This window comes from Homo sapiens, chromosome 7 (assembly GCF_000001405.40).
Source record: "Homo sapiens chromosome 7, GRCh38.p14 Primary Assembly".
NCBI classification, from domain to species: Eukaryota; Metazoa; Chordata; class Mammalia; order Primates; family Hominidae; genus Homo; species Homo sapiens.
Window position 1 is genome coordinate 32158671 of NC_000007.14, and position 25886 is coordinate 32184556.

A 25886-nucleotide genomic window follows, 5' to 3' on the forward strand; every position below is an offset into this window, starting at 1 on the left:
CACAGGCCAGGAAACCTTCATTTCGATGCTACGTGTGCAGGAGACCAAGGCATGGAAATATAATTCCTAATTCTGTAACTTAATTTAAAAATATATACAGTCTCCTTTCTGCTTACTCAAAGATGGAGAGCTCCGAAGATTTCTGCCTGCGGAATAAAACTGAAACTCTTTCTCATGGCAAACAAGGCCCTACATTACATAGTCCCAGGCTTACCTTTGCTTTACCTGGTTCCAAACTTTACCTGCCTCTTGTTCACACACCTCAGTCACAAATCAAACAGTTCCTTCAACATAAGGCATGTGTTCCTCTCTCCTGGCCCTGGTTCAAACTGTTCCTTTTGCTTCCCTTTTATGTCCACCATAATCCAGGGTGATCTGTTTTATGGTTATACCATAGTGCCATTCAATATATGCATCGATCTCTGTGAGGTCTGGGAGACGGGGAGAGGGTGGGGGAGGACAAATGGGGCCTGCAGTGGTCTGACTCACCTCATGCAGCTTCAGTGCCCAACACAGGATGTAATTGTAGAGTATGCACTGAGCACATGAATGGGAAGAGAGCATTTGTTATCAGAGAAATTTTAATAAGAAGGAAAAGGATCATTTTCCTCTAGCAAGGTCAAAATCCCTGCCCTAATGCTGTAAATAGGAACAAATATTTCTACAGAGTAAAACACAGGGTTAAATTATCATAAGGTAATGAATCAATCACACCAATCAAGGGATATACAGATTTGCCTTATTACAGGGCACAGTTTTAAAGGGGTCTGCTTTATTTTTATTTAGGGTACCTTAATTTCACTGCAACAAACAAATGCAGTTAAAGTCATTCATCATGGAAAGTTGTAAGGGGTGACATATGGTGTTTTTGAGATATTTCCCAGTGTAGAGTCCCATATCAGTAGGCCAATCTGTCTCTTTACTTCATCCACCATTAAGACTTAGCCCCAAGCCTGGTACTGGGGAGGAGGGGGCTATAAGGGAGGAGAAGTAGAAAGGCAGAGGTGCAGCTTTTCTGGCAGGGGAGATGACAGGGAGAAGAGAAACCAGAGCAGAAGAGGCAAGGGTGAGACCTGAGTGTCCTCTTCTCTCTCTGGAGGGATATCCGCCCAAAAACCGGAAGCTCTACACCAAAGTGAACTCAGTGGCCAGTAGAGTTAGGTAAAGGGAGGCTGAGTTTTAGCTTTGCCAGGTTGTCTGTAGGCTCTTTGTGGTTTGGACAGGCCCCAGAGGCTCCCACAAGCTCCTGAAGCCAAATCTCAGAAGTTACCTGGGATTGTGACTGAGAGATAGTCCTGGAGGTTGCCATGGGGACAAAGTGGCCACGGGCTAAAGGCTGGACCATCTGATGCTGAACCACATAAGAATCAAAACCAGACCATCCTCAGGGCCTAAAGCACAGCCACAGGAGGAGTGGAAAGGGGCTGGGAGGGAAATAAAGGCGGGAAGGGGAGTCAGATCACACCTGCCAGCAGAGCCACACAAACCAGACACCATCTTGGTGAGCTGCAGGGTGCCAGAGGGGACTTCTGAACCAATGAGCATTTTACCAAAAGAAACTAAATCATCAGAAAAAAAAAGTATCATCCAAATGGTAAGTTCATATTTGACTTTAAATGTAGAGTTTCTCCCTAGTTCCCCTTAAAGTGGGGGCTCCAGAGGAAGACTAGTTCAACTAAAAAGGAAATTAAGAAGCAACATTTTCTCACACATCTTGGGGTATTGACAAAGTTGCAGCCCTGTTACACGGGTATTTCTCACATTAGGGCTGACAATCTATAAAGTACATTTTCTGGATAGTAACTCTTAATTCCCTATTAATTCATAAGAATAAACCCTCTATCCTCCAATAAGCCAAGTCAAGAAATTTTAGTGAAGAAAGGAATCTGGGCCAGGTGTGGTGGCTCACGCCTGTGATCCTGGCACTCTGGGAGGTCGAGGTGGGTGGATCACTTGAGGCCAGAAGTTCAAGACCAGCCTGGCCAACATGGTGAAACCCCATCTCTACTAAAAATACAAAAATTAGCTGGGCGTGAGGCTGAGGCACGAGAATCACTTGAACCCAGGAGGCAGAGGTTACGGTGAGCTGAGATCACACCACAGCACTCCAGCCTGGGTGACAGAGCAATACTCTGTTGAAAGAAAGAAACTAAAAACAGGAAAGAAAAGAGAGAGAAAGGGAGGGAGGGAGGGAAGAAGGAATATGATGGGAGAAAGCCCCTGGCTAGCTGACTTCTGCAAACCACTGCCTATATTTTAGGCTTCCAAAGTCTGCAATGCATTTTCAACAGCATTACTCTTGCTGCCGTCTCTCCCAACCAGGAATTTCTCTAATGCCTGAGATGGACTGAATTTATACTTTCAGCTCCTAGAATTACACCATCCTTTTCATAGGAGGTTCGTGAGCTAAACCATAAAAAATGAATTGGGCTGCAAAACTACAACCCATTCATTCAATCAACAAATACACCTGAAGCATCTATGATATACCAGGCAATCCAGGCAGTGGGTCCCTGCCACCCAGAAAAATTTGTATCTAATGCAAAATATGAATAAGAATAATGTGGGATGTGCTACCATGGGCCAGTGGTAGTGTCCAGACAGCACACGGATAGGAGGTTGGGCAGCCCAGTTGTGGAGGTATCCAAGAGAGCACAGAGCATCCTTGACATTGGGCTACACCCGTGATCTCACTGCCAATCTCCTCTACTCTACTGCTCCCACCCTCATAGCTTATTGGTGCTACCTTCACACATCAAATACTCTATTGAAAATCTCTTCCCTGTAAGTCTACAGGTTGTGTACAATGAAGTTATTGCTCATGCAACTGGAGACGAGAAGTGCATTTACCTCGCACCCCATACTGACCCCCAGGGGTAGTTTGGTCCAAGCTGATCTCAAATCTTCACACTTCCTTCAAAGGAAGGAACTTCCTTTGTTTAGAGTTTAGAGAGAACTTCAGGGATTCCCTGCATATTTTGGGTCTTTATGTGGGCTGGAACAGCAGTTCCTGTTGCTAATTAGGAAACATAGAGAAGTTTATCCACACTTCACATTGGCAGGGTGAGTTAGGTGGAAGCTCCAGAAAGAGTGTCCCGCTCCTCCTCCCAACCCAACAGCACTGAAAGCTTCCTGAGGGTTATTCTAGGATGAATAACTCACACTTTGTAAAATGTGCTGCTAAAATTTATTGTGGTTGAGGCATATGCTGAGGGGTTGAGGACACCTCAGATGAGCTACATTCCTGGGGGTGGAAGCCTGGATTTCTCAACGGCCCAAGAAGAATGTGCTCTGGTTGGAAAAAGGATGCATTCTCTAGGGGGAGTCAGCCCTAGAGACAAGCCCACTGGCTAGGAGCCAGGTGTGTCCATCAGCAGACCTTCTGTATGAAGGTCAACATTTGTGAACCTTTCTTGGACAATGAAAACAATCATATTTTGAGGATAATTACAATTTTATCCTTATGTTGTAGTTTCTTTAATCTCAATGCTTCCACAAAATCCCCTGTAAGGCAATAAAAGTACAAGATACTAAAGAAAATTGTGACTTGCCCCATGTTCCCTCCCACTAGAGCCCATAGGGAAGATACTGCATCAAATATAAAATTAAATATAGACAGACTGGCCCAGAATATCCAGGCCAGTAGCATTGGAGCTATGCCCCCCGTGCCAAGCTAGAAGTGATGCACCAGCAGAGAACTGCAGTGTGATGGGAGACTGTGGTCCTCCTAGAAGCAGATGTCAAGACAGGATTAGACATACAAGAAATGTATTGGAGTAAAATCTGTAAAAACAAATGAGTAAAAAGCTGAGCGAGGCTGAGAAAGCCATCAGACCTGGATGCAGGTCTGACTCCCAGTAAAAGAAAGTTGGGTGGCAGTGTCTGAGACTGTACTGCAGCTCTAAAAAAAGTTCAGCAAGGCCGTTAGTGAGTCTGAACACCAAAGTCACCATCAAAGGAGTTCCATGTCTCCCAGGAACAGCTGACCTTAGGGTCCCTGCCATGCTCAGTCATCGCCAATGGGTTCCAATGGGTTCCTCTGGGATGCACAGCTTTGGCCATCACAGGGATAAATTTCCCCACACACAAGCTAGGAGGCCATGCGTCAAGTTCACTTTCTGTGATCAGAGATATGAAAGGTATATTCTCATGGCCACCACAGAGATAAGCCCTCCCTTCCCAAACTACCAGTGAGAGGACCAACAAGAATGCAAGAGGAATGGTGTCTACCTCATATATACTTGGTCATTTTTTAACACTGGAAGATCTGTCTCTAAAAACTTACAAAGAGAGACCTAAATATTGCCTTTATGTGAAGCCAAGGTTGCAATAAAAACTTCTCTAGGCTTTAAAAATTCTCAGAATTCATTCTTTCATTTTTCCCCTTGGCAAATGATTTGGATTTGCAAAGACTAAAGGTGAAAAATAACTCCAGGAAGGCAACACTAAGTCAGGAGAGTAGGTGTCCCCAGAAGTTTCCAATGGGTGAGCAACACTCAGTAATAGAAAAATATGTGTGACCAGACTTCCTATGAGCTAATTGGGAATTTTAACCCATGACTCATCCCAGGGCGGGGCCGAAGCTCCAGGGGACGCTACCCCACACCATGCCATATCATCAGCCAGACTGCACATTTCCTGAAAGTAATCAAGTCAGAAACTGACATTTTGGCAGCAGCCCCTAGTGGAAAAATGACTGCCAAAAGCCAAAATGAGGATGAGTTCAACGATTTAATTCTGCATGGAAAACACAATCCATTAAATGGGATCTGACAAGGCCTTAATCTCATCCGTAGCTGAGGGTGTTGGCTCAATGCGATTCTGCTCTCTGGAACATATTCTTAGTAAGCTATCTATAGAATCTAGAAAGCCTTTGCCAAAGCCCAAATAAGTCCATCCTAAGTGGGAAGAGAAGCTCACCAAGCCCCCACTGACTCTGTAGGGAGTAAGCACATGATTCTTCCAAGTGCAAAATTATCAAAACCTGGCAACTCAACCTGTGTTGGGAGTCGCATGATTCAAAGCAAAGGAACTGAGATGGGCAATGCACTGAGTGGCTTCAGAATTTCCACCACTGCCCAAGGAGGTCAGGCCCACAGCCAGCATCACTCACAAAGCATCCATAGGGCTCATATTCCCTGGCTGGGGCCCACTGCATAATCCAGTCACAAAAGAAAGAGTTGGGGGTGTAGAGGATCAGTCTTCTCCCAAACAGGGTTTTAAAAACTGAAGTGAGAAAGAATTAGAGGCTGTCACCTTCTTTGGCCCACTTAATCCTAACAGCAGCCCCCAAAGCCCATTATTTTACTGTTTGCATGTGAAAAATGAGGAAAGAGAACAAAAGCATTACTCAAATCATGTAGTTTAAAAGATTGTTTGCAAATTCATACTTGTGGGATTCCAAAGCCCATGTCTCACCACTCTGAAGGTGGTGGTCCTCAGACTATTGCATCAGTTGGAGCTTGTTAGAAATGCAGATTCACAGGCTGCACCCCAGACCTACTGAATCAGGATCTGCATTTAACAGGATTCCCCAAGGAATTCATTTAGACATAAGGTTTGAGAAGCAGTGCCTTCAATGGCTTCTATCCAAAAAGGGTAGGTGGATTGAAAACATAAGTCTAGACTAGAAAAAGATTTAGTGCAATAGAATAGGGCCAGTCTTATAGGATATATAAAATATGTATCAAAATATAACTCAAACTATATATCCAAAGTGCACACTCAAATTAGTATAACCAATCACACCATATCTTTTTTCACCAACAACAAATCTAGAGACATGAAGTCCAAGGTTATGTGGTGCTAGTAGAATATGCTGAAGGAGCATGGCTGTAGAGCTAGGTAGACTTGGTTGAAATCTCCAGCTCTGCCACCTGCTGGGTGACTTTGGGCAAGCTGCTTGATCTCTCTGAGCCTCAGTTTCCTGACCTGTACAACTGGGATAACAATACTCAACTTGCCAGCCTTTTGAGGGGATTAAATGAGCAAATGAATGCACAGTCCTCGGCACATAGCAGATGCTCAATAAATATTGGCTTCTCTTACTTGTGGTACCATCTGAGCCAGGTCCCTCCCACCTCTGGGAATGTGTACACCAGAGGCTGGGGAGACAAACCTCTCTCAGCAGCCAGCTCTTTCATGTTCTCTTGGGTCCTCTAGTGGCAGGTATTGAGATTCCTGTCACTAATCAGACTGGATGGACTTGTCTGTCTTCCTTAGCCCCAGGTTCAATTTATTCTCTATTCTCTTTTAAGAAAAACCTGAGCAGAGCAACAGGTTTAAAGGGATAAAATGTGAGAAACAAGGAAAGAGGCACCCAAGGTGAGTTCCCAGGAGTGTCTATTTTCCAGGTACCAAAGCCTTTTTCTTTATTTGTGGTTCCCACTTTCTTCTTTTCAAAAATCTCAGGTTTTGAAAACAGACCTTTCATGCCACAAGTTTAGTGAGCTTTCAGGGCCCACAGTGTCTGCACGTGGAGCCACAAAACCCATGTTTGATCCTATTTAACTTTGTATGTGTAGGCTTCAAGGGCATGTAAGGATTCCAGTGAGTGCTGAGCACGAATACAAAATTAATACTTACTGAGCTCATTCTGGGTACTGGACACTGTGCTTGGCTCATTCACATGCGTTATCTCCTTTAAATCCTCTCCAAACCCCAGGAAGGGGGTCTCTTTATCCCCATTTCAAAGATTTTAAAACAGGCCAGAACAGGTGAGTAAGTTTGTTCTCACACTGCTATAAAGAAATACCTGAAACTGGGTAATTTATAAAGGAAAGAGGTTTAATTGACTCACAGTTCCACATGGCTAGGGAGGCCTCAGGAAACTTACAACCATGGCAGAAGGTGAAGAGGAAGTAAGGACCTTCTTCACATAGCAGCAGGAAAGAGAAGAGTAAGCAGGGGAAATGCCAGAAGCTTATGAAACCATCAGATCTTGTGAGAACTCACTCACTATCACAAGAACAGCATGGGGGAAATGCCCCCAAAAGCCAGTTACCTCCCATCAGATTCTTCCCTTGACACATGGGATTACAATTCAAGATGAGATTTGGGTGGGGACACAGACCCAAACCATATCAATAGGTAAGTGACCTGCTCAAATTAACATAGCAAAATACTCTCGAGTTCAAAGGGATCCTAAATCTCATCTAGTGCAGTGGTTCTCCAGGTGTGATCCTGGACCAGCAGCATCAGTATAACCTGAAGCTTGTTAGAGAACAACATCCTTGGGCCCCACCTAGATCTGGGATGAGCCCAACAATCTGTTTTAACAATCCCCCCGGGTGATTGTGATGCACACTCAAGTTTGAATCATCAGACCACTCTTCAAATCCAACCTCAGTATGACAGTTAAGAAAACAGAGGTTTTGCCACCAAAAAAAAAAAAAGACATTATGTGAAGCGGTGGATATGTTATTTAGCTTGATTTAATCATTTTGCAATGTACACATGCAACAAAACATCATATTATTTTACATTGTAAAATTTTATTTGTCAATTATACCTTTATAAAGCTGGGGAGTTGGGTGGTGGGGGAGAGAAAAACAGAGGTTTGAAGAAATGAAGTAATTCGCCGGGGGCAATAGAGTTGGAACTGAAACCCAGTACAACCACTATCAGAAGTCCAATTTTCGCACCTGGATAGCTTAAAATGTTTGTTTCTTGGAGAGTAAAGACTAAAGCCCTTGGTACAACTGAGCACTAAACTGTGTTGCCTTCCAGCAATATTGGCTGGGATCTGGACCTGGGCAGCCATGAGGAGACCTCAAGCCCTGGAAGCATGCTCCCAAGACTCTGCTAAACTGTCTGCTCCAATACATAGAGTATGCCTCATCAGCACTGCCCAACCAGGAAGGGGATAAGAGGGAAGACTGTCAGGGACCATATCCAGAGTTGAGATGGTGTTTGCACAAACCTCAACTATCGACACACAACCCCTAGGGAAGAAAGGTGGTGCCTTCATTTTCCAAAATCTTTATTTCTAAGTCAGTGTGTCAAATTCTCACTTTCAGCTATACCCTCTGGCATTATTAGTAACTGACATTAATCCAGTGACAATCCAGAGTGTTTGCAGGCCATACTTAGGGATGGCAGCCTGATTGGAAGACAAGGCCCAGGGACATGTCTTGACGCTGCATTTGAATCACAAGCATGCTTTTTATGTGAGTTTATAGATGATATACTTATTTGGGGTGGGGTGATAAAGTAAGACTTAAAGTCTGCCCAAGCTACTCCTTGCTGCTGCATTGGAGACCAGCAATCTACCAGCAATTTTTTATAGGCTTTCTCTCTCCAAGCCAGTTTCTTCATCTCTAAAATGGACAGAATCCTTGAGTTTTTTGGGTTAAGCCTGGCAAATAAGAACGGCTATTGCTGATGTAACAGGGAGCCTGGTGGAGACTGAAACATAAAAATATTTGAAATTTTTTTGAAAAACACCCATCATTGATAAATTTATAAACACTTCGTATCTTTGGAAACAGAAAGTAGAATTTAGCTTTAGAGCAGACTGTCCCTTTGCTCTGAAAAGAACTACTTAAATGAAAATACTAAATGCAAATATTAAACAAGTGCACACATTTTGTCCTGGTAGTAGCTTGTATATATTTGCCTCCACCTTGCAGAGAGCTAGAAAAGATTTCCGGGAAAAGTGGAATTAAGTATCTAACCCCTTCCTTTTGAGAATCAACATTATTAGAATATGTCTGAGAAAAATTGTGGTTGTGCTGAGGCCAAGTATCAGGAAAAGACAACAGAAGCCACAGAGAGGAGTCATCACAAGGAAGAGGTAATCTAAGCTGGTGATAAAAATGCCTAATTTCACTGAGGTCAGAAAGTACATGCTCAACATGAGACCTCATTTCCCTAGTAGGGGACAAAAGGCATAACAGGATAAGCGATGATTCTTGAACCCAGCCTGTCAATAAGGCTGGGGGTCCCTGTGAATAGTGAGGGACAAGAACCCCAAGAAAAGACTGGACCTCCTGATAATTTGGCACATTGGGCTTATTGACATTGTCATTTGTATCTTGTTTGGTAAGAGGTGATGACCATATTTCATGGCCCTAAACTCCAAATGCCCTCCAAGCGTGACCAAGGAAAAAGAGAACGAAGTAATCAAAGCTATCATTAACCCTTATTGTGGTACCACTCAATGGTAATGACCCTACAGAGGAGCTGTAGGGTAACCTTGATTATGCTCTGATTTATTCATTGATAAATAAACTCTTCCCATACCTGAGTACTTTACTTGTAGTAATTTATGCACAACAAATCTCACAGCTGATCATGCCACCACAGTTAAGGACAATTGCAGAAGAGAATATTTACCATTTAGCACTGTCATCAAAATCAACCATCTTCTTTGGAAGAAAGGATAGTTACAAAATAGTACACAGTTGTATTAAGGGTACCAATAAATAAATAAATAAATAAATGCTAATGGATTTCTTGTCTCAATTGCTAAAGGGTTGGCATATACCTGCATGCACCTGCTGTCTTTTTCCTACAGCACCAAGTGTTACAAGGAAACAGAAATAAGTCCTGATATTCAATTTATAACTTAATCTCTTTCAGAAACCAAGACACTGCTACACGTTACAACTAACAGACCAAATGACATTCATGGGCATCAATATTAAAGCTCATGAGCTCTCTATTAAAGAGCACCAAGAGAATGCAAACAAAACAGATGATGGTAATGGAGTTCGGTGAGCAAATAAGATGTTATTTTCATGAGAGTAACTCTTTGCCTGTTCATTGAAGAAAATGATGACCCTGGTTTAGGGTGGAAGGAGTAGTTATAAGAAACCTTAGGAGAAGGGATTGACTCCATAAGAAATGCTCCAAGGTGAGAACACATAGACAGAGAAAGCCATTCATGGTCCCCTCTTTCACCACAGTCACTTGCTGAGAATTGCAGGTTCATAAGACGTATTCTCTCAGGTGAGTGGGTTTTATTTTATTCAAAACCTTATGATGCAATAACCAAGCCCTTAGTAGGAATAAAAACAGCATTTACCTGCAATTCTTGTCTCACTAATGTACTCGTCACACTGTATAAAGAAATCCAAACCCCTATTTAGCACTCCTTTCAGAACTCATCTGTAATTCAATCAACACTAAGAATCTTCACACAATGAAATGGCTCTCACTGAGCAATTACACATATCACCTGGATACAAAAGAGAGTATATTTTTCAAATATATTTCATGGAACTCCAACAGCTGTCTGAATTGTTTATGGGGAGAGAAAAACGAGGTTTATATGTTCTGCTAACCATGTGGAGAGTATGAAAGTCTATAGTGGAAAGAAAAGTGGAAGAAGTAAAATTGACATAACAGGAAGAAAGGAGGGGCAGAAGGCAATCTGGAAAAATGATTGAGTCTTAATTTCTGATACCAGTAGTACTGTAAATATACTGTTTCAAATGTGAGTCTGAAAGACCCATTTGGGGAAAAAAAAATCACGTTTTTACACCACACTCATACCCAGATTGATTTTTATTTAATATGGGTGAGAAGGCAAGGGATGGAGTTGTAATGAAAATGGAGTGCAATGCCGAAAGAAAATAAGAGACCTTGCAGGAAGATGCAAGACTAAACAATGAACTAGAATAGAGTAAACAGCCACCTGGGAAACAACATGAGAAAATTCTTGCTTCATTTCCGTCAGCAGCAGCTCTTACATCTTTTACAACTGGAAACCTTCCCCCAGCAAGAGACTCTAAATACACAGGGCTGAATTAATTCCCAACACGTGCTTTTTCTCTATGCCCTTATCTGGATGTGTCATCCTCCTTTGAAGCAAAAGACTCATTAATCCAATTCAAATTGCCAACATCAGTAAATCCTCTACCTCAGCATTTAAATGCCAATACCAATTAAATACCAACAGCAACTTAACTACTGATAAGATCTTCACTACATTCAGGAAATACAGCCAGAAGTCCAGCTAGCATTGATTCCAACCCTCCTTCATCAATTTTAATTTATTCAGTGCAAAGAAATGAAGTAATTTGCTGGCCACACTGACTATGCATCTAACTGGATTGAAACAACTCCACAAGCAAATAAGAAGGAACACATTGAGTTGCAATCCACCAAACCTGAAGGATGTCTTCACCAAGACTTCTGGGCTATCCAGCTGTGGCAATTCATCAGCTAGGATCTCCTCTGGGGGTCGAGGGTCATGGACAATTGTTGGCCTTGGCTTCTCCTTGACATTCCCTGTGAGCCCATCGATGAGGGAGTTCCACAGACAGTTCTGTGACTTAGACCCTGAGGCATGGGGAAAAGAGAGATGCAGGTGAATCATCCACCAGTTGACTCCATGTCCTGCCTTCCCCAACTCAGGATCTTCCAAAGCAGAGCAGGGAAATTTATATATTTCTCACCATCTCCGCCAACATTACAGAGTTGTAACCAGGAATTTTTACATTTATATGCAGAAAATAGGCTACCACTCTGAGTATTTTGACACAAAGCTAAGTTATTGGATATATCTTGTCTCATTGCAGTGGTGATCAGCCCAAACTCCTGACAGAGCCACAGGTATCTATGTAGATGTTTATTCAGCAGTTGGAAATATATAAAGCACTACCATTTTAGGGAACTGTGAGGATGTTCAAATACAAGTCTCCCCTATAAATTCAGCTTGCTGAAGCCCAAGACTCCATTCTATGGAGACACCCACCCCAAAGAGGGCACCACCTTTAAGAACTAGAACTCACCATATCAAGACCCAGGAAAATTACATGTAGTTTATGCATGTAAAACTTCAAACACGTGAGATAAATATTAAAGGTGGGCATCAAGTGGAAGCGGTGTCTACAAAAGTAGAGCCTGATCTGCCAGGTGATCAAGATCAAACTCAACAGTGAGAAGTTGTGTTGATAGTGTGTGCCCTTGATATGATGTCATGAAAATGTCACTTTTGCTTTGTGTATTAGGCATGTTTCTAGCTTCCACAAACTTCATGCTGTAACATCTGCCCTACATGCATGTGCCCAACACAGCTAGTTCTGGACAACCCAATAGTATGCCTGAGTCACCTGACCTTGGCCTCCTGCCTCCCTTGTCGCCCCACTCTCCCCCAACCCCCAACTCCTCAGGAGAAGTCCTCCTTCCAGGGGTGTGCTTTTAAAACAAAAACCAGCCAATCCAGAGTCCACACCCCATCTACCTCCCTTATAGGACTTTCTCACCCCTGACCACTCTCCACTGGGCCTAATCACCCCAGGGCCTGGTACCAGGCAACTAGGTATTAGGCAGCCCCTAGGCTCCAGCCCCCTGAAGTCATTCAAACTAGCCAGTCCCAACCCTGCCTACCCTGCCTTGCCTGTTCCTTCTTGCAGAAACCACAACAAAGGTTCCTGCCCACAATGTCCCACCCCACCTCCTGACTGACACCAGTGCTTCCCCAGATGGCCCCGTAACATGACATGGAAGCCCTCTCCTGGGAACTGTGGGTAATAAATTATCTTTACAATGGCATTTGTCTCCTTATCTGTTGACCTTACCATACCTAAACAGTAATAAAACTTATTAAATAATCAGTCTAAAACACCCAATCTAGCCATGGAGAAAACATTAGATAAACCACTTGAAGAACCTGCGACAGAACACCTGACCCGTGCTCTTCAAAACAGTCAAAGGTACCAAATACTGCTGAGCCTCCATATCCATGGGTTCCATGGATTCAAACAACTAAAGAAGGAAAATATTCAGAAAAAAAAAATCTGTAGTAAACATGCACAGACTTTTTTTGTCATTATTCCCTAAATAATACAATAACTATTTACTTAATATTATTATTTTACTTATTATTATTAAAATTAAATTATTAAAATTAATATTTTAATAAAATTTTATTATTTTAACAAAATTAAATTATTAAAATTGTTATTGAAATTATTATTTTACTTAATGTTATTATTATATTATTCCCTAAATAATACAATAACTATTTATTTAACATTTACATTGTATTAGGTATTACAAGTTATCTAGAAGTGATTTAAAGTATATGGGAGGATGTGCATAAATTATATGACAATACTACATCATTTTATATCAGGCACTTGAACCTCTGTGCATTTTGTTACCTGAGGTAACCAATTCCCTTGGAAATAGAGGGACTAGCATATAAGGAAAGTCTGAAAAACTGTCACAGCCAAGAGGAGCCTAAAGATATGATGACTAAATGTAATGTGGCATCCTAGATGGGATTGTGGAACAGATGTACCATGCTAAGGTAAGAGGTTAATAATACAGGAAACTGCGTGTAGGCCGTATGAGATCTCTATATTATCTTTGTAATTTTTCTGTAAATCTAAAATTGTTCTAAAATAAAATTCATAAAAATAAAAGTAAATAAAAATCATAAATAAATCATATATAATTAATTAAATAACTATTATTTTAAAAGTCTATGAGCAAAAAATTTTTTAAGTAGAGCCTGAAGACATTACCATTACCATTAACCAATTGCCGTTGGCTTGTTCTGGTTATGTCTACCCAGATAAAAGAAAAATTTTGTCTTTGCACAAAGACACTGTCAGGTTGAGTGAACAGGCAACCTATAGAATGGGAGAACATTTTTGCAATCTACTCATCTGACAAAGGTCTAATATCCAGAATTTACAAGGAACTTAAACAAATTTACGAGAAAAAAACAAACAACACCATCAAAAAATGGGCAAAGGATATGAACAGACACTTCTCCAAAGAAGACACTTACATGGCCACCAAACATATGAAAAAAAGCTCTACACCACTGATCATTAGAGAAATGCAAATCAAAACCACAATGAGATACCATCTCATGCCAGTCAGAACGGCAATTATTAAAAAGTCAAGAAGCAGTCAGGCATGGTGGCTCACGCCTGTAATCCCACCACCTTGGGAGGCCAAGGCTGGTGGATCACCTGAGGTCAGGAGTTCAAGACCAGCCTGACCAACATGGAGAAACCCCATCTCTACTAAAAATACAAAATTAGCCGGGCATGGTGGTGCATGGCTGTAATCCCAGCTACTTGGGAGTCTGAGGCAGGAGAATCGCTTGAACCCAGGATGCAGAGGTTGCAGTGAGCCGAGATGGTGCCATTGCACTCCAGCCTGGGCAACAAGAGCAAAACTCCATCTTTAAAAAAAAAAAAAAAAAAAAAAGGCAAGAAGAAATAGATTCTGGCGAGGCTGTGGAGAAATAGGAACACTTTTACACTGTTGGTTGGAGTGTAAATTAGTTCAACCATTGTGGAAGACGATGTGGCGATTCCTCAAGGATCTACAAACAGAAATATACCATTTGACCCAGCAATCCCATTGCTGGGTATATACCCAAAGGAATATAAATCATTCTACTATATAGACACATGCACACATATGTTTATTGCAGCACTATTTACAATAGCAAAGACATGGAGCCAACCCAAATGCCCATCACCGATAGACTGGATAAAGAAAATGTAGCATATATACACCATGGAATACTATGCAGCCATAAAAATGAGAATGAGGTCATGTCCTTTGCAGGGACATGGGTGAAGCCGGAAGCTATCATCCTCAGCAAACTAACCCAGGAACAGAAAACCAAACACTGCATCTTCTCATTCATGAGTAGGAGTTGAACAGTGAGAACACATGGACATAGGGAGGAGAACAACACACACCAGAGCCTGTTGAGGGGTGGGGTTTAGGGGAGGGAGCTTACAGGACGGGTCAATATGTGCAGCAAACCACCATGGTACACGTATACCTATGTAACAAACCTGCATATTCTGTACATGTATAGCAGAACTTAAAGTAAAATAAAAATAGAATAAAATAACAATAAATAAAAATTAAAAATTAAAAAAAAAACACTGTCAGATCACTAAGCCATGCACCATAGAGCTGTGTCTATGCAAAATACTGCATTTTTCTAATTCACACAAAGCCTCCTTATGGGGCATGAGGGATGGGCATGAAGGAGTGAGAAGCAGTGCTAGCTAACACACACCATGCACATGGGATAGGCAGATAGAAAATGGATTTGTGTGCACATGAGAATTCCTCCCTGAGACCTTGGCCAGCCACCTGCAGCCCACCATAGAAGAAATCACCCTGGCTTGTTGTGCCAGAAGGACAGCTCTGCCAGGAAGACTGAAAGAACCTCACACACAAGAGGGAGTTCCTCACATGGATTCCTGAGCCTACAAGCAAGGACACCCATGGGTCAGCAAACAGCTCTTTCAATGCCCGTGCCATAACTGACCTCCCTTGGGGTGTCCATCCAAACTGCTTGTGTCTATCAAGAGAAAATTAAAGTACATCAGTGGAAGGAAACAGATTCCTCAAACCCCTGAAAGACAAGACAGCTTTTTTTGTTTTTTAAGGGCCCTACACATATATCTTAATAAGATATGGTCCTATTAATGAAGTCTGGTTCTGCATTAATGAAGATCAGTTCTATGTTAATGAAGGTCTGGTTCTGGGAAGAAGAACAAGAACAGCAGCCTGTTTTCTTAAACCTGATCTAAATGAAGGCCTTACAAAAAAGTTCCTGCACATCCCCCTTTATTCCTTCATTTTTTTCATTCAGTAAACACATATTGAATTCCCTCAATGTGCCAGGTTTCATTCTTCGCCCTAGAAATGGAAAGATGAATGAGACTGGTTCCCAAGGGAACCCACAAGCAATCATAATAAACTGGCAATGCACCATAACTGAGGGGCAAATAGAGGGCTATGGGACCCAGAGGAGAGCTCACCCACTCTGCCTCGGGACCCTGGGGAAAACCACAGAGAGAACATGACATCGGATATGGTCTAAAGCATGAGACGCTCTTCAGCCGGTGGAAAGGAGGGGAAAACAATCAGTGCAGACAGCATATACAAAGGCTCAGAGGCGTAACAAAGCAGCTCCTGAGGCTGGGACGAAGCCACAGGGGCAGTGTCCAGAGATCGGGTCAGAGGCTGGTTGGGCCATTTGCAAAGTGCCTTGAATAAAATGCTACTCATTTAAGAATTTATCCTCCAAGCAATAAAAAGAAAAAAAAAGAAAAGAAAGATTTTTGAGCAAGGTTGTGGTGACACAGCTGTACCTGTATTTCAGAAAGGAGACTGGTGTGCTGTGGAGTAGTGACTTATGAGGAATGGCAGGCTCGTAGGAAGAGCTCCTGAATCCATAGGGTGCCATGCATTTAACTGTGGGTGAAATTACATCTTACCCATAAATATGTAACTAATATTTAAATATATATAGATGTGATTAATAAAACTACAAATTCATCTAAAACTATTAATGAATTCATAAGAGCTTTTTCACCGTTTTCTCAGTCAATGAATCAGAAGGATCATGAGACCCAAGCCACCTCTACATTAAGGGCTCCCAAATGAAAATGTGATACCTCCAAAGTACCAGCCCCCACAAAGATACACATTCATGAGTTTAAAAGAAAACTGTGGTTGAAGAGATGACTAGGATTCACTCAACACTCACTCTCAACTCCCCTCTCACTTGCCTTCATCTTCTAAAAAGGCTAGAAAACAATATACAGGCATACATAGGAGATATCATAGGTTCACAGTTCCAGACCACTGCAATAAAGCAAGTATCACAATATAATGAGTCACACACATTTTTTTGGTTTCCCCAATGCATATAAAAATTATGTTTACACTGTAGTCTATTAAGTGTGTAATAGCGTTTTGTCTAAAAACACAATATACATATCTTAACTCTAAAATGCTTTATTGCTGAAATAAAAAATGCTAACAATCATCTGAGCCTTCAAGCAGAGGTAATCTTTTTGCTGGTGGAGAATCTTGCCTCAGCGTTGATGGCTGCTGACTGATCAGGGTGGTGTTGCTAAAGGTTGGGGTAGCTGTGACAGTTTCTTAAAATAAAACTCTACCATCTCTGCACTCAAGAAGCTTTGAAGAGGCAGAAAAACACAAGGCAGCTGCTAATTGATTTAGACTAGAGCCAGTCTTTGGAAAACTGAATTCGTTTTCCCTAGCCCTCTCCTTAATCCCCTCCATAAACAATTTTCCAATCCATCGAAGTGTTTGAAATTGACCAAAAACTTTCATGAGCGTCCTATCTATCTCACCCATCTGAATTGTCTTCACTTTTCACTATCTTGGAACTACTTTACAATACTGTAAATTGGAGAAAACTGATAGCAACACAAATGAATCTTGTCCATAGAAATGTAAATTGTGTCCCATGGAATGCAATTAATTATGGCCCTGTAGATATTGATAAGTCTTGCCATTTCACATCCATTAAGTAAATTTCAGCACACCTGATGGATTTACATATTTTTCTGCTCTTTGGATTTTCTTCCAAACTAGTTGTTACATCTTACTGGTTTATTCATCAATGTGTTGAATAAGATCTTTGACACATGTTCACTTTGTACTTGTATGAATTTTCAAAAAATTATCCTTTAACAGTACCAAAGTCCTCATGCTGCTCCCCTTTGAGAAGTCTCTTGTAGTTAGCCTAACTACATCTGAATTAACTATAGTACATTTATGTAATGGATTGCTATGCCACTGACTAATATCCCAAAGCGAAAGATCTCTATAAGCTGATAAGGAGTGATTTCCAAGATCCATTATAAGTGAAAAAAAAACCGCATGAGTCTATTTATATTATGCTCCCTCTTGAATAAGAAACAAGGGGAAATATATTTGTTTATTTTTGCAAAAGACAAAGAAGACAGGACCAGAAACAATGAAAATTACCCACAAAGGATGAGTTGGGAATAAGTAAGACAGGTTGGAGATGAAAGACTTCACATTTGTATATAGTTTTTACTTTTGAATAATGTAAATGTTTTAATATTCAAATATATAGTTAACAAAAAAATTTACAAATCCTAAAATTGAATAGAAACAGAAATGAACCTAACTGTATGTGATATTAGTAACATAATTATAATGGAAAATAATGATTAATTTAAATATTTTATGAATACAGTATCCCTACTGTATATCATTAGAGAGATCAACTCTAAATATGCACACACACGTACTCACACACACACAGCAGAGAAATCTTGAACCTCCCTGAGTAGGTTTGCTGTTGTTGATAATCATAAAGGAGCAGTTCTAAACTATATCACATATACTGTAGGACAGAGCAAATAAGCAGCCATAATGAGGGTGTTGGGAACCACAGCTCTTATTCCAGGAGACAGAAAATACAAACAGACAGTAGGAGAAGGTAAAGAAGCCTGTTGTGTTAGATTTGAACTAGAACTATCAGTGTGAACTCATGATTACATATTCAGCAGGCTCTGAAGAGATGTTTGCTGAATGAATTCATAAATGATAGACTATTTTTCAAAAAGTAAAAAAACTTTAAGGCAAAAGGTGAGTAATAATAATATTAACAATTTTAAGTAAAAAACATGTCACAGGAAACACTCTAAGAAAGACGAACAAAGAACACTGCCGTGTGCGGAGAAAAAAGGCCTTGCTCAGCCCATGCTGAACTGCGTCCAACATAAGGTCTTGACCAAGTTTCTTTCTGGAAAGTAGATTCTGAGACAAGGGCTTGTGGCAAGTTTTTTCTTTTGGAAGTGATTCCAGGAGGCAGGAGAGGAGAACACGGAGAGTAAATTAGGGAGTAACAAGGGAAAACCAAGACACAGGTGCAATGTCAAGTCGTCATCCCGTGGGTGTATTCACCATGTTTCTAGCATCTGTAAACTTGAGCTGTAACATCTGCCCTATGCGCATATGCCAGACATGCCTGGTTCCAGGCAACCCAATAATAATATGTCTGAGTCACCTTGCCCCTGCACCTCCTCAGGCAGCAGTCCTCCTCTCAGGGGTGTGCCTTTCAAATACAAACCAACCGACCCAGAGTCTGCACCCCCAACCACCGCCCTTATAGAGCTTTTGTGTTCCTGGCCACTATCCATGGGCCTTAATTACCCCAAGACCACTGACATTATCCAACTAGCCAATCCTAAATCAGCTTACCCTGCCTCGCTCACTGCTTCCTGAACCACACTGAGGCTCTTGCCTACAGCAGCCTGATCCCCCCTCTGCCCAGTGACCAGCCCCAGTGCTTCCCTGTATGGCCCACATGGTATGATGTGCCCCTTCTCTTGGAATCTGTGCGTGTAACACACTATCTTTTCAATGTCAGTCACCTCCTGATCTGTTGGCCTTACTGTATTTAATAATAAACCCTACCAAGACAGGGTACCTGGGCTGGGTTCTACAGGGATCACAGAGAAGGTGGGGAGCATGCTCAGAATTATCCCCCTGAGGAATTGAAGAGGGAGCATTTATCTGCAGGCTCTCATCCCCCATGGTCAAAGGTAACTCCACAGGGAATTAATTTTCTAGCCCTTTGGGGTCTACCCACACATAAGTATGGGGCAATTCCCACATAATCTGGGTGGAAATGAAGAGAAATTAAGCCGGAGCTTAAAAATAGGACCAAGAGGAGGTGAAGCCAGGCCAAAGAGGTGCCCAGGATACAGGGTATCCACACAGCTTTTCTGTGCTAGAAAATACAGCCAGAATCTAATCTGCTACTCATTCCTGCCTTAGAAGGATCACCATGGGCCTCTGCCATGGCTCATCTCAACTCAATCTGGTGAGTCTTTTGGAGTAAGTACTCTCCTCTGTGAACTCTGAGAGAGTGGAAAAGAACCCTTCCTCTGACTCTCCACAAATGTGGGCAGAAGACTCTCCAGGGGCACTGGAAAGGTCTGCTCTGACAAAATGAAAAATAAAAACTCCCCTTCTCTGATTTATTTTAAGCTGATGTTGAAAGCATGAAATGTTTCTGACTAAATAGAGCCAAAAATACACAAACAGATAGATTCACACAGGTCTTTCTCAATAATATCAAAAACCCCATGAGGGAAATCTTAGGTAAACTAAGCCTTCAGGGCACCAAAAATAATGCAGCTCAGGTGCAGGAGGTGAGCATCTCCCTTCAACCCACTCCATCTCATCAGCTTCTCCTCACTCCCCTCCCCAACCTTCTCTTTCCTCTCTCCTTTGACTTGTTCCTGACTCTCATTCAATGCCTATTACATTCTCCTTTCCTCTTACCTCCCCTCTGTCCCTGCCATAAATCCTCTCCGTTCTCTTCACAAAGACAACTTTTCATGGACCCATAAACCCTCCGGACTGGTTATAAATCCTCCTGACTGGCAGCATCTGTACCACTGAGCTCATCAAGAGAGCAGGGGCTCAGATTCAGATGTAGCAAACATTTGTTCAGTACTTGCTGTGTGCTGGGCTCCACCTGTGTTAGCCTACTGAATCATCAGCCCTTCAAAGTAAGTATTATGGAAACTACTGAACACTGGGACACTAAGACTCCAAGAAATCAAATAACCTAGATTACAGAGTTAGAAAACATTACTTTGACCCAAAATTCTCATTCTCCTAATCCAAGGCTCTGTGTGATACATCACACTGTGTTTATTACTTTATTACAGAGCAAGTAAACAGATGCTTAGTGTAGATCACGCAGAACATCCTGCATTTCTGAATAGGAAACAGACAATTTTTTACATAGGAAACAGGATTTGCCTTATCGCAACTAGGAAGAGTCCTGACTTAGTCTTTTTTTTTTTTTTTTTGGAGTCTCACTCTGTCACCCAGGCCGGAGTGCAGTGGCGTGATCTCAGCTCACTGCAACCTCCACCTCCCAGGTTCAAGCGATTTCTCCTGCTTCAGCCTCCTGAGCAGCTGAGACTACAGACGTCCGCCACCATGCCCAGCTAATTTTTGTATTTTTAGTAGAGACGGCGTTTCACCATGTTGGCCAGGCTGGTCTCAAACTCCTGACCTCGTGATCCGCCTGCCTCGGCCTACCAAAGTGCTGGCATTACAGGCCTGACTTACTGTCTTGCATGCAGCAGTTTGCAGCTTCCTTTAACAAAGGAAGCTCAGGCTGCAGGGGAGGATAAATAATGCCAGGTGAATTTAATGGGCTGAGAAAAGACAAGAAAGCAAGAAAATGAGATAAGAAGAATCTAAATCAGAAATAACTACAGATTCATTTTGTGGTGTGCCTAAGAGTGGCAGCTTGATAAACTGCTAGTAAAAGGAGCCCAAGGTGATGTGGTAATCCCATTTAAATCTGACAAGTGACTCATCAACTCAGTTCTGTATAAGAATACTCAAAGATTATGCTGGCAGAAAGCTGAAAATTTAGAGTCCTGAGAAGCACAGGGAAAGAAAGAGACATAGTTCTCTGTAAAGGGAAGGAAAAAACATTACTGAAAACCTTCAACGGTTCTCAAAATATCTGTGACATAGGGTTGTAGCCTTCCTCTCCTTTGGAGAAATAAAACTCCTAAAATTCTCAGTGGGTAGGAAATTTGGGGCTGGGATACATAGGAATTAGGAATGAATGGAGTAAAGCCCAGATGAAGAACTTTATGCTCACTAAAACAAAACAATAATGATGGTACAAAAAATAAAGTACCAATAATGTTTTGAATATCTTAAATCAGTCACCTAGATACTGTTTTGTTATTTTCAATATAGTAGTTACTGGTTTTAGGAACTTTTCCGGAATTCTGTCTCCTGCAATTGCAAAAAGATTTGAAAATTTAACTCCTTATCATACACATCAGGGGTGGGGAAAAGGACTCCCTCAACAAAATATAAGAATAAAATTTGATCTGTGATGATACATTCTAAATTCCCAAAGACATTAGGATTTATTTCTAAGTTATCTTGTTAGATTAACCTGTTTTCCTAAATCCCCAGTATAATAGTATTAAGAGGTGTGGCCTTTGGGAGGTGATTGGGTCATGAGGGATTCACGGAAGGACTCTGGTTCCCTTTTGTCCCTTCCATCATGTGAGGACACAGCGCTCCTCCTCTCAGAGGACACAGCAACCAGTCATCATCTTGGAAGCAGAAATCAGGCCCTCACCAGACACTGAATCTGCCAGCACCTTGATCTTGGATATTCATTCTCCAGAACTGTGAGAAATAAATTTCTGTTTTTTATAAATTACCCAGTCTCAGGTATTTTATTATAGCAACACAAATGGCGTAAGACACTTGGCAGATATAAGTGCAGAATTTTCCAAAAACATATACCTCTGGCATTTGTGTTTAAGTTAAATGCTATGTGGAATTGTAATATAACTGGCTTTCTGGAATCATAAAAGTCTCACACACTGCTGCTTTCTGAAAGTTACATGGGAGAGAGGATTTAGAAATTATGAAGAATGGACTGTGTCCCATCTTTTGTTATCTGCGAGACACAAAGTGTAGGAAATAATTCAACAGACTCAGAAAATAATAGCTGGAAGTAATGAGGGGAAACCCCTAAAACTGTCACAGAAACTTTAAGGATTGAAACTGGATGTGAAATGAAGATTTGAAACAATCTTGTATAGGTCTTAAAGGGAAAGTCTACATGATATCTGGATCATATATTAAAAACTTATATGCACCCAATACAGGAGCACCCAGATTCATAAAGCAAGTCCTTAAAGACATACAAAGAGACTTAGACTCCCACACAATAATAACGGGAGACTTTAACACCCCACTGTCAACATTAGACAGATCAACGAGACAGAAAGTTAACAAGGATATCCAGGAACTGAACTCATCTCTGCACCAAGCGGACCTAATAGACATCTACAGAACTCTCCACCCCAAATCAACAGAATATACATTCTTCTCAGCACCACACTGCACTTATTCCAAAACTGACCACATAGTTGGAAGTAAAGCACTCCTCAGCAAATGTAAAAGAACAGAAATTATAACAAACTCTCTCTTCAAACCACAGTGCAATCAAACTAGAACTCAGAATTAAGAAACTCACTCAAAACTGCTCACCTACATGGAAACTGAACAACCTGCTCCTGAATGACTACTGGGTACATAACGAAATGAAGGCAGAAATAAAGATGTTCTTTGAAACCAACGAGAACAAAGACACAACATACCAGAATCTCTGGGACACATTCAAAGCAGTGTGTAGAGGGAAATTTATAGCACTAAATGCCCACAAGAGAAAGCAGGAAAGATCTAAAATTGACACCCTAACATCACAATTAAAAGAACTAGAAAAGCAAGAGCAAACATATTCAAAAGCTAGCAGAAGGCAAGAAATAACTAAGATCAGAGCAGAACTGAAGGAAATAGAGACACAAAAAATCCTTCAAAAAATCAATGAATCCAGGAGCTGGTTTTTTGAAAAGATCAACAACATTGATAGACCGCTAGCAAGACTAATAAAGAAGAAAAGAGAGAAAAATCAAATAGATGCAATAAAAAATGATACAGGGGATATCACCACCAATCCCACAGAAATACAAACTACCATCAGAGAATACTATAAACACCTCTACACAAATAAACTAGAAAATCTAGAAGAAATGGATAAATTCCTGGACATATACACACTCCCAAGACTAAACCAGGAAGAAGTTGAATCTCTGAATAGACCAATAACAGGCTCTGAAGTTGAGGCAATAATTAATAGCTTACCAACCAAAAAAATTCCAGGACCAGATGGATTCACAGCCGAATTCTACCAGAGGTACAAGGAGGAGCTGGTACCATTCCTTCTGAAACTATTCCAATCAATAGAAAAAGAGGAATCCTTCCCAACTCATTTTATGAAGCCAGCATTATCCTGATACCAAAGCCTGGCAGAGACACAACAAACAAAGAGAATTTTAGACCAATATCCTTGATGAACATCGATGCAAAAATCCTCAATAAAATACTGGCAAACCGAATCCAGCAGCACATCAAAAAGCTTATCCACCATGATCAAGTGGGCTTCATCCCTGGGATGCAAGGCTGGTTCAACATACGCAAATCAATAAACGTAATCCAGCACATAAACAGAACCAATGATAAAAACCACATGGTTATCTCAATAGATGCAGAAAAGACCTTTGACGAAATTCAACAACCCTTCATGCTAAAAACTCTCAATAAATTAGGTATTGATGGGACGTATCTCAAAATAATAAGAGCTGTCTATGATAAACCCACAGGCAATATCATACTGAATGGGCAAAAACTGGAAGCATTCCCTTTGAAAACTGGCACAAGACAGGGATGCCCTCTCTCACCACTCCTATTCAACATAGTGCTGGAAGTTCTGGCCAGGGCAATCAGGCAGGAGAAGGAAATAAAGGGTATTCAATTAGGAAAAGAGGAAGTCAAATTGTCCCTGTTTGCAGATGACAAGATTGTATATCTAGAAAACCCCATCGTCTCAGCCCAAAATCTCCTTAAGCCAATAGGCAACTTCAGCCAAGTATCAGGATACAAAATCAATGTGCAAAAATTACAAGCATTCTTATACACCAATAACAGACAAACAGAGAGCCAAATCGTGAGTGAATTCCCATTCACAATTGCTTCAAAGAGAATAAAATACCTAGGAATCCAACTTATAAGGGACATGAAGGACCTCTTCAAGCAGAACTACAAACCACTGCTCAATGAAATAAAAGAGGATACAAACAAATGGAAGAACATTCCATGCTCATGGATAGGAAGAATCAATATCATGAAAATGGCCATACTGCCCAAGGTAATTTATAGATTCAATGCCATCCCCATAAAGCTACCAATGACTTTCTTCACAGAATTGGAAAAAACTACTTTAAACTTCAGGTGGAACCAAAAAAGAGCCCGCATTGCCAAGTCAATCCTAAGCCAAAAGAACAAAGCTGGAGGCATCACGCTACCTGACTTCAAACTATACTACAAGGCTACAGTAACCAAAACAGCATGGTACTGGTACCAAAACAGAGATATAGACAAATGGAACAGAACAGAGCCCTCAGAAATAATGCCGCATATCTACAACCATCTGATCTTTGACAAACCTGACAAAAACAAGAAATGGGGAAAGGATTCCCTATTTAATAAATGGTGCTGGGAAAACGGGCTAGCCATATGTAGAAAGCTAAAACTGGATCCCTTCCTTACACCTTATACAAAAATTAATTCAAGATGGATTAAAGACTTAAACGTTAGACCTAAAACCATAAAAGCCCTAGAAGAAAACCTAGGCAATACCATTGAGGACATAGGCATGGGCAAGGACTTCATGTCTAAAACACCAAAAGCAAGGGCAACAAAAGACAAAATTGACAAATAGGATCTAATTAAACTAAAGAGCTTCTGCACAGCAAAAGAAACTACCATCAGAGTGAACAGGCAACCTACAAAATGGGAGAAAATTTTCCCAACCTACTCATCTGACAAAGGGCTAATATCCAGAATCTACAATGAACTCAAACAAATTTACAAGAAAAAAACAACCCCATCAAAAAGTGGGCAAAGGATATGAACAGACACTTCTCAATAGAAGACATTTATGCAGCCAAAAGACACATGAAAAAATGCTCATCATCACTGGCCATCAGAGAAATGCAAGTCAAAACTACAATGAGATACCATCTCACACCAGTTAGAATGGCGATCATTAAAAAGTCAGGAAACAACTGGTGCTGGAGAGGATGTGGAGAAATAGGAACACTTTTACACTGTTGGTGGGACTGTAAACTAGTTCAACCATTGTGGAAGTCAGTGTGGCAATTCCTCAGGGATCTAGAACTAGAAATACCATTTGACCCAGCCATCCCATTACTGGGTATATACCCAAAGGATTATAAAACATGCTGCTATAAAGACACATGCACACACGTATGTTTATTGCATCACTATTCACAATAGCAAAGACTTGGAACCAACCCAAATGTCCAACAATGATAGACTGGATTAAGAAAATGTGGCACATATACACCATGGAATACTATGCAGCCATAAAAAAGGATGAGTTCATGTCCTTTGTAGGGACATGATGAAGCTGGAAACCATCATTCTCAGCAAACTATTGCAAGGACAAAAAA

At 41.1% G+C, this 25886-nt stretch overlaps 1 protein-coding gene across 9 annotated transcripts in view, besides 1 other annotated feature; it reads right to left on the reverse strand.

Moving 5' to 3' along the window:
• Positions 1 to 25886, reverse strand: part of PDE1C (phosphodiesterase 1C) — an 811448-nt gene that overhangs the window by 541894 nt on the left and 243668 nt on the right. For all 9 annotated transcript variants that reach the window (XR_001744802.1, XR_001744803.1, XR_007060041.1 and 6 more), the window contains exon 3: positions 11115 to 11286. Coding sequence is in view for 6 of the 9 variants with exons in the window: in NM_001191058.4 (NP_001177987.2) it covers positions 11115 to 11286 (172 nt within the window). In the remaining 3 variants the exon portion in view is untranslated. The remainder of the gene's footprint in view (positions 1 to 11114; positions 11287 to 25886) is intronic.
• Positions 3935 to 5134: an enhancer, noted in NCBI's record as "P300/CBP strongly-dependent group 1 enhancer chr7:32202217-32203416 (GRCh37/hg19 assembly coordinates)". NCBI's record gives its function as "activates an origin of replication core promoter dependent on BRD2, BRD4, P300/CBP, MED14 and CDK7 cofactors, with strong dependence on P300/CBP, by STARR-seq in HCT116 cells {active_cell/tissue: HCT116}" and the evidence as "EXISTENCE:reporter gene assay evidence [ECO:0000049][PMID:35650434]".